The sequence below is a fragment of the Homo sapiens genome, chromosome 7 (genome assembly GCF_000001405.40).
Source record: "Homo sapiens chromosome 7, GRCh38.p14 Primary Assembly".
NCBI classification, from domain to species: domain Eukaryota; kingdom Metazoa; phylum Chordata; class Mammalia; order Primates; family Hominidae; genus Homo; species Homo sapiens.
The window spans coordinates 152,744,675-152,754,473 of record NC_000007.14 but is presented as its reverse complement, the minus strand read 5'-3'; the positions used below and the strand labels follow the sequence as shown (position 1 = coordinate 152,754,473).

At 44.7% G+C, this 9,799-nt stretch overlaps 1 pseudogene; it reads right to left on the bottom strand.

The window, feature by feature from the left end:
* ATP5PBP3 (ATP synthase peripheral stalk-membrane subunit b pseudogene 3) lies at positions 4,446 to 5,584 on the bottom strand (annotated as a pseudogene).

Below are 9,799 nucleotides of genomic sequence, written 5' to 3'. Positions count from 1 at the left end.
TTGGCCGGAGTGTGTTGAGTGTGTTCAGAGAGTTAATAACAGACCCCAAACCACAAGTCTTAAGAAAATTACCGAGAGGACGGAACATATTCAGACCAACTCTGCTATGTTTTTTTCTCTGCCGAGGGCAATTACTCAGACTGTGACCCTCCACGCCCCCTTCTCTTCTTGCTTCCCTCCTATACCACTCAGCTGCCAAGGCCTGGTCATTCAACCCCACCGCTTCCCTTGTGTCTCTGTCCCCTGCTTTTCATTCCAACTGTCGCTCTTGCTCAACTGCTCAATAGCCTCCCACTAGTCACCCTGTCTCCAGGCTTTTGTCTCTACAAGAAATCTTTCAGGAAAATTATACTGCTATGAGGGACATCAGGACAGAATTCCAGAATGTATGTATTATGTCAGTCTTCTTTCCCTACAACCATCAGTGGTGTGTTATTCTTATGGAATTTGGTCCAAACCTTTATTATGGCATTCAAGGTTCTCTAAGATCAGATTCTAAATTACCTTTGCAATCTCATCTCACATTATGCCCCTTGGTACATCAGGACATACCAGACCACACACTGTTCTTCAAACCCTCTGTATTGTCAGGTGTTTGTGCAGGCCTCTGAATCTAGAACATTCCTCAGCTACCTCATTCTCATCATCCTTCAAAACTCTTTTCAAAGCTTCACCCATCCTTCCAATTTCAATTCACATCTGCTTCATTTATTCAACAAAATATGCTGAGTGCTTCCATGTGCCTCTCATCAGAATCAATCACTGATTCTATGCCCACTACTCAGAATCCAGAGATGAAATCTGGGGAGCTGCACTTTAATAAGTTCATCCACACTACCAGACAATATTTAGGGTTTGAGAGATAAACATAAAATTCTAAGCCCCACAACTGACTGAACAGACTCCCTCTTGGCCAAGGGGACCCCAGAGAAACTTTGAAAGCTGAGTTCCTAGCCATAATGGGATGTGATATGGTTTGGCCCTGTGTCCCCACCCGAATCTCATTTTGAACTGTGCTCCCATAATTCTCAGGTGTTGTGGGAGGGACCCGGTGGGAGATAATTGAATCATGGAGACAGTTTCCCCCACACTGTTCTCATGGTAGTGAATAGGTCTCACGAGATCTGATGGTTTTATAAGGAGAAACCCCTTTCTCTTGGCTCTCATTCTCTCTTGCCGCTGCCATGTAAGAAGTGCTTTTCACCTTCTGTCATGACTGTGAGGCCTCCCCAGCCATGTGGAACTGTGAGTCCATTAAATCTATTTATCAGCTGCACACAGTGTCTCACGCCTGTAATCCCAGCACTTTGGGAGGCCAAAGCAGGTAGATCACCTGAGGTCAGGAGTTCAAGACCAGCCTGGCCAACAGGGCGAAACCCTATCTCTACTAAAAATACAAAAATTAGCCAGGCATGGTGGCGGGTACCTGTAATCCCAGCCACTTGGGAGGCTGAGGTGGGAGGATCGCTTGAACCCGGGAGGCAGAGGTTGCAATGAGCTGAGATCACACTACTTCACTCCAGCCTGGGTGAAAGAGCAAAACTCCATCTCAAAATAAATAAATAAATACATACATACGTACATACATATCTATTTATCTTCCCAGTCTCAGGTATGTATTTATCCGCAGCATAAAAACTGACTAATATAGGGTGAAAGGCTGGACTTGGCTGGTTACACCCCCTCCCTTTCTAACTGCCTTTTGACTTTCTTCCCTAAAGGTAAACAGAAACCAGGCCTTTAAAAGATGCCACCACTGAGTTCAACCAAAGGCTAGACTGCCACCCTTCCCTTTTTACAGTTTGTACACAACTGAACAGCATTCCTTCCTGATGAGAGACCACCAACCACAGAGTGGTTTTGGCCAGTCTACACAAGGTGCACAGTGAGGGTTTTCCAGTCCTCTGCTTCACCTTTTGACATCAGAGTCCTGAAAATTCCACCCTGAGATCATGCTTTTAATGCCACCATTTTTTAAACATGGGACCCAGGGAGAAGCATGAAGCTCAATTGCACATGCACATGTTTCCCGTCTCATAAATATTCATGGCTCCACCTATAGCTTATTGAATATGTATATTCTGCCACTCCATTCAGCGTAAATCCCTGTCTCTTCTTCCAACTTTCAAACTGCCTATTTCCAGCTTCTGGCCAGAGGCTACACTTCCCAGCCTGTCAGAATGGGCCCCCTCCAGGCTGCAGCCCTTTTTGAGAAGTAAAGCTCTCCTTTCCAAATGTATGAACCTCATCATTCTTCAGTTGACAGTTTGTAACAATTTCCTATTCAATTCTTATGGAGAACTGAGTTACAATAATATCTTCATTTCCAAAGCATTTTCAGCACACCATTACATTTAATCTTCCTAACATTCCCACGAGGTAGATATTATAAATACCTCCCTTAATCAAATAAGAAAACTGAGGCTCATACTTTGAAAATTAGCCTAGATTAAAATTTAATTTTGTTCTGAGCACCTTCTTTAGGCTCTCTTGACAAAACAGGAACCGCGAAAGCATTGCAAAACCAGCATCTGGTAAGCAGAGGTAGAAATAGATGGTAGAGCCAGAAGGAATCTCAGTCATCAGTCCTTCAGACTAACCCAGTCCTTTTATCATTTTACATACACTTTTCTACTTTTGAGCTCTTTACCTTGAATGTTGTCTATTTTCAGTAACAAATGCCCATGAACTCCCATCAGGCAATCACTGTATGTCCTAGAGACTGAGTGGTATCCAACAAAAATTAAACTATTTTGCCAATAGGGAGTGAAACTGCTGAGTAGCATAAATGGGACTCCAGGCAATCTGGACACAGCATACTGCCAAAAACTAGGTCCAAATGTTTCTTGCCATTGTGCAATCTCACAAGCAACAGGTTTTGGAGGAGCTGGCTTTCCAAGGGTCTCTCCTCTCCTTATTGATGTTCATTCTAGAACATTATCAGAAGCAGGACAGCAGGAATTCTCATGTAATTATAGTAGAATGAATGAAGCAAGTCTGTGTCATTACAAAATTATCTTCACCAGATATTAACTTGGTCCATTCAAGCAGAAGTTGTGCTGGGAAACTAGGAGGTCACAGTGAATTGGGGGGAGCAACAGAGCAGGCACAGATGCAGGGAGGTAAATGGGAACCCACACTTGCTGCCTTAGACTGTTTCATTCAGCAGAACCTCTAGTTGCAACAATGTGTATCTGAAAACTGGGTGCAAAGTTACACTATGTTTCTGAGAAAAGACCTTTTATTAGAGGAATACCAGTCCTTTTAAACTACCAGGCCCAGAGAGGCACTGAAATGAAACAGTGATTGTGCCCTACTCTCCCCTTTCCGAGCTATATATTCATGTCTTGAAACAGCTTACTATTGCCACAAGTAGCTATAAATTAACCTAATAATGCCACACTGGACACTGTAACCCACAACCTACAGCTTAACAATGTAGAGCCCATCAATAGTTTATTTGATGTTAATATAAATTGTTGTTGGTAACAACTCAGGAATTGCCTTTTTTTTTTTTTTTTTTTTGACACTGAGTCTCATTCTGTTGCCCAGGCTGGAGTGCAGTGGTGTGATCTTGGCTCACTGCAAACTCCGCCTCCCGGGTTCAAACAATTCTCTTGCCTCAGTCTCCTGAGTAGCTGGCACTACAGGTGCCCAACACCACGCCTGGCTAATTTTTGTTTTTTTTTGTTTTTTTTTTTTTAGTAGAGATGGGGTTTTACCATGTTGGTCAGCCTGGTCTCGAACTCCTGACCTTGTGGTCTGCCCACCTCGGACTCCCAAAGTGCTGGGATTACAGGCGTGAGCCACTGTACCCGGCCAGGAATTGCTTCTTTTTTCCCTTTAAAAATCCACTTGTGGCCCGGCGCGTTGGCTCACACCTGTAATCCCAGCACTTTGGGAGGCTGAGGTGGGCAGATTGCTGAGGTTAGGAGTTCGAGGCCAGCCAGACCAACACGGAGAAACCCCGTCCTACTAAAATAACAAAATTAGCTGGGCGTGGTGGCACATGCCTGTAATCCCAGCTACTTGGGAGGCTAAGGCAAGAAAATCACTTAAACCCAGAAGGCGGAGGTTCCGGTGAGCCAAGATCATGCCATTGCACTCCAGCCTGGGCAACAAGAGCAAAACTCCGTCTCAAAAAAAAAAAAGTCACTTGTAACTGCTGCTAACCTGAGTGCAGATTCAGGGCAACTGAAATCTACGCTGTCGGGTTGCAATCCTCAAACTTGGCCCAAAAAAACTCTCTATTTAGATTAATTTTGCCTCAGCTTCTTCCTTTTAGGTCAACATTTCCATGTCTTACCCCTCTATTTTGTGTACTTGCCTTACACGAAAAAGTGCAAAGTGAATTCTCTGCAAGAGTAACTTGCAGAACAACAGATGGCCACTGAGTTCCTGATATCTGGAGCTGATAGTTAAGGTAAAAATGATACTGTATTTTTTTTCATTCAATTGTCACTTCATTAAAGATGGTAGAATTAATTACAAATTTAAACTGTAACCTGGTAATCTTTAGTCAGGCAGCAGGTTTTAATGAAGGCAAACTGCTTATTCAGAAGTGATCATGGAACTCAAATGCAGAGTAAGAAGGATGAGAAACATCTGACTGGCCAATAGATTTTGTGCTTTCACTCTATGAAATAAACTTTTCACTTTTAGGAGAGGTAAATTATAACTTCAGTAGACACAAACAGTCAACTGTTTCCAGCTGTCTCAATTGGGATAGATACATTTACATAGCTGGCTGTGCTTGAGCCTTCTTTGCCAGAAGCTTTAGGTCTTCAATGCACTTGGCAATTGTCTCCTTTTCCTGCTGTGCAGAGATGCTCTGCACCACGTACTTCTCCACCCAATTGATCATGTGCTCTTGTTCCTTTCAATGCATCATGTTCTGCACAGATATATGATAGTCCAGGCGATTCTTTACTTCCTTACATACTTTATACAGTAGTTCCTGGTAAGTAACCTCCAAAGCCATAGCAATGTTATTCCTCTGCACATCAAAAAGGTAATGGCGCTTCTGAACTAGTGCCTGCTGTGACTTCTCCAAATCAATTCCATCCCGGATTTGTTTGATGGGAGCCTGCTTCGCCTCTTCTAGTTGGGCAAGTTTTTGCTCATTGAGTTTACCAGCAAATTCTGCAACAGAGGCACCATATTTTTTAATTGCATAGACAGGTAACCCTACTACTGATATGGTCGAGAAGGTCTCTGCAATAATCACATATATTTCTTTGGATAAAGCATACAAGATAAGCCCAGTTCCGAGCACACAGGGTCCTGTTACACCGGCTTTAAGATAAAGAAACCTGAGGAATTCCTCAAGGATCAGTCCAAGACGAACTTTTCCTCCATTTTCAGGAAAAGGTGGTAGAGGGGCAAGGTGTGGCTGCCTGGGTGAAAGGTCCTTGTTGCCCACAATACCCCTGGACCTAGGAAGGCTGCATTCTTCAGAGAGGGGGCCACTGTGGCAGTGGCAGAAAGTTCCACCCGGGACAGCGTGGTCATCGAAGGTCCAGGCAGCAGTCTTAGCATCCCTGTGACCCCGACCGGAGACTCTGTCAGGGGCAGGAGCAAGATGGCCACTCACCAATACTGTATTCTTAATCCAAACTTTTTTTTTTTTTTGAGACAGAGCCTTGCTCTGTCGCCCAGGCTGGAGTGCAGTGGCGCGATCTCTGCTCACTGCAACCTCCGCCTCCTGAGTTCAAACAATTCTCCTGCCTCAGCCTCCCGAGTAGCTGGCACTACAGGTGCCCACCACCATGCTCAGCTAATTTTTGTATTTTTAGTAGAGATGGGGTTTCACCATGTTGGCCAAGCTGGTCTCAAACCCCTGACCTCAAGTGATCTGCCTGCCTCGGCCTCCCAAAGTGCTGGGATTACAGGCATGCGCCACTGCACCTGGCCCAAACATTTTTTTTTTTTTTGAGATGGAGTCTCACTCTGTTGCCCAGACTGGAGTGCAGTGGCACAATCTCCACTCACTGCAGCCTCCGCTTCCTGGATTCAAGTGATTCTCCTGCCTCAGTCTCCCGAGTAGCTGGGACTACAGGCGTGTACCACTGCACCCAGCTAATTTTTGTATATTTTTTTTTTTTAGAGATGGGGTTTTACCACGTTGGCCAGGCTGGTCTCGAACTCCTGACCTCATGATCCACCCGCCTTGGCCTCCCAAAGTGCTGGGAGTACAGGCGTGAGCCACTGTGTCCGGCCCCCAACATTTTTAATTATATTAATTTATACCAAGAAAAATGCATAAAATTAACTGTACTTGTTTTTTGCAGAATAAAAAGAGCCCACATTTTGAAATCTCAAAGACCTGCATTCAAAGCCCATTTTAGAAATGAGGCCAGGCGCAGTGGCTCACACCTGTAATCCCAGAACTTTGGGAGGCTGAGGAGGGCGGATCACCTGAGGTCAGGAGTTCAAGATCAGCCTGACCAATGTGGTAAAACCCCGTCTCTACTAAAAATACAAAAATTAGCCGCATGGTAGCGCATGCCTGTAATCTCAGCTACTTGCAAGGCTGAGGCAGGAGAATCGCTTGAACCTGGGAGGTGGAGGTTGCAGTGAGCCGAGATTGTGCCATTCCACTCCAGCCTGGGCAACAAGAGTAAAACTCCATCTCAAAAGAAAAAAAAGAAATGTATGTTTTTGTATGAGTAATTTAATATCTCTGAGCTTTAGTTTCCTTGTCTGTAAGAAAGGCTTTTTCTGAGTTGTAAAGTTAGTGTATAAAAATACCAAGGACTGGGCATGGTGGCTCATGCCTATAATCCCAGCCGTTTTGGAGGCTGAGGTGGGAGGATAGCTTGAGCCCAGGCATTTGAGACCAGCCTGGGCAACATGGCAATACCCCACTTCTACCAAAAAAAAAAAAAAAAAAAATTAGTTAGCCAGATACGGTGGTGTACCTGTAGTCCCAGCTGCTCAGGAAGCTGAGGCAGAAAGATCACATGAGCCCAGGAGTTCAAGGCTACAGTGAGCTATGTTCAAGCCCCTGCACTCCAGCCTGGGCAGCAGAGTGAGTCCTTGTCTCAAAAATGAATCAATAAAGTTTTTAAAAATAAAAATGCTAAGTAGTGTCACATGGCAAGTGTCCATATCATTACTGCCCTCATCCTCAGCAGCTGCCTTCTTCTAACTCAAAGGCGGGCCAATCTTTTGGCTTACCTGGGCCACACTGGAAGATGAAGAATTGTCTTGGACCACATGTGAAATACACTAACACTAATGGTAGCTGATGAGCAAAAAAAAAAAAAAAAAAAAAAAATCACAAAAAGAACTCATAATGTTTTAAGAAAGTTTACGATTTTGCATTGGGCTGCATTAAAGCCATCCTGGGCTGCATTTGGCCCGCAGGCCATGGGCCAAGCTTGTTCTCATTCGTGATTCTCTCAGCTTTAGATTTGTGTGGACAAAATCACACAGCTGTTTTTGGTTATCTGGATTATAACTAAGGTATAAAAAAAGATTGAAAGACACCTATCCTCAATATTACTAAGATTTGAGACATCTTTTTATTAATAGAAATGAACTATGTTGAATTTTTCATGTCCTCATACCTGCTCTCCCTTGTGTCCAAAGACACTTAATGGTCATGGTGCCAGAACTTCTGTAATTCAGAGCCAAATAGTCCATGTTGGTCAAAGATACAGGCTTTGAGGCCAAACTGCCTGATTTAAATCTCAGCTCTGGCTTGATGCATTTGTTACTTTAGGCAAGGTACTTAACCTCTCTGTGACTCAGTTTCCATCTTGTCAAAATGTAGGAAGTGACTTCACAGGGCTGATGTGAAGAATAAAGATGCAGTTTATTACCTTATTACCTTACAATTACCTTATTACCTTACAAGTTCGAGACCATCCTGGGCAACATGGCAAAACCCTGTCTCTACAAAAAAATTAAAAAATTAGTCAGGCATGGTGGCACGCACCTATAGTCCAAACTACTTGGGGGACTGAGGCAGGAGGATCACTTGAGCCCAGAGGTCAAGGCTGCAGTGAGCCAAGATCACGCTACTGCACTGCAGTCCGAGTGACAGAGTGAGACCCCATGTCTTAAAAAACAAAGAAAAAGAAAAATTACCACTGGAAAATGTTCCAGCCCCCTCTTCAGTGTTTGCTTGGAAGATGCTGTATTAATCTGTTCTCATACTGCTATGAAGAAATATCTGAGACTGAGTAATTTATAAAGAAAAGAGTTTTAATGGACTCACAGTTCTCCATTGCTGGGGAGGCCTCAGGAAGCTTACAATCATGGCAAAGATGAAGGAGAAGCAAAGATACGTCTTACTTGGTGGCAGGTGGGAGAGCCTGTGTTCGAGTGCAGGGGAAACTGCCCTTTATAAACCATCAAATCTCATGAGACTCACTCACTATCACAAGAACAGCATGGGGAAAACCACCCCGGTGATTCAATCATCTCCATCTGGTCTCTCCCTTGACGTGTGGAGATTACGGGGATTACAGTTCCAGGTGAGATTTGGGTGGGAACACAGAGCCAAACCATATCAGATGCCATGGTGACTGGGAGTGTTTTCAGTGACTTTAAGGGCCTGACCAATGCTTCTTTGAGTAAGACTGCTTTGAAGGTGCTCACCAGGAAGCCCACAGCTTTGTGCCTAATGCAAGGGCAAAGCCATACAGCCCAACCAGACATGGTGGTATGCACCTGTAGTTCCAGTTACTCAGGAGGCTGAGGCCATAGGATCAATTGAACCCAAGAGTTGGAGAACAGCTAGGCAACCTAGCAAGATCCCACCCTCCCCCCAAACAACAAAAAACAAAAACAAGCATACAGCTTGACATGGGCACTACTTGCTTTTAAATTGAGCTTATCTTTTTTTTTTTCTTTTTGACACAGGATCTTGCTCTGTTGCCCAGGCTGGAGTGCAGTGGGACAATCACAACTCACAGTAGCCTCACACTCCTGGGTGCAAGGGATCCTCCCACCTCAGCCTCTCAAGTAGCTGAGTGAGCGCTCACACTGCTCCTGCCTGCAGACCCTCTCCAATGCCCCTTTCACCATCTCTTTCTCAGCCTACCTGCCCAAGACTCACCGTCAGCCACCCAGCCTCCTTCCTCCTGGCAGCAGCTATCCTTTCTCTCTCATGAGTTAACTCTTCCCTCTTTCCAAAAAGATCCATCCAGCTCTAGAGTTTCTGCCCATCTCTCCCATTCTGGTCTGCAGGTCTCATTCCTGAGAAGGACAGAGGCATTTAGAATAGTAACTCAAACATTTCAGCCAAAATACTCCCCAAAGCTCCTTATTGAGCAAGAAAGAGATTACTAATAATTTCCCCATCCCCTAATTCCTATATAAAGATGAATACTGGCCGGGCGTGGTGGTTCACGCCTGTAATCCCAGCACTTTGGGAGACCAAGGTGGGTGGATCACAAGGTCAGGAGTTTGAGACCAGGCTGGCCAATATGGTGAAACCCCATCTCTACTAAAAATACAAAAAAACTAGCCAAGTGTGGTGACATGCGCCTGTAGTCCCAGCTACTCCATTGCTGAGGCAATGGAGGCTGAGGCAGGAGAATCACTTGAACCCAGGAGGTGGAGATTACAGTGAGCCGAGATTGCGCCACTGCACTCCAGCCTGGGCAATAGAGGGAGACTCCAACTCAAAAAAAAAAAAAGAATGCTTATGCCATCATGCTGCACATTTCTCTACCACGCTGGAACTGGTCTAAGTGTAGTTTCCCACTTTTGAAGTGGCTGAATCTTAATTTTCACAAAGCTGGATTCTGGTTCCCATGGACCCACCCACTGCAGGAGCTGGTAGCCC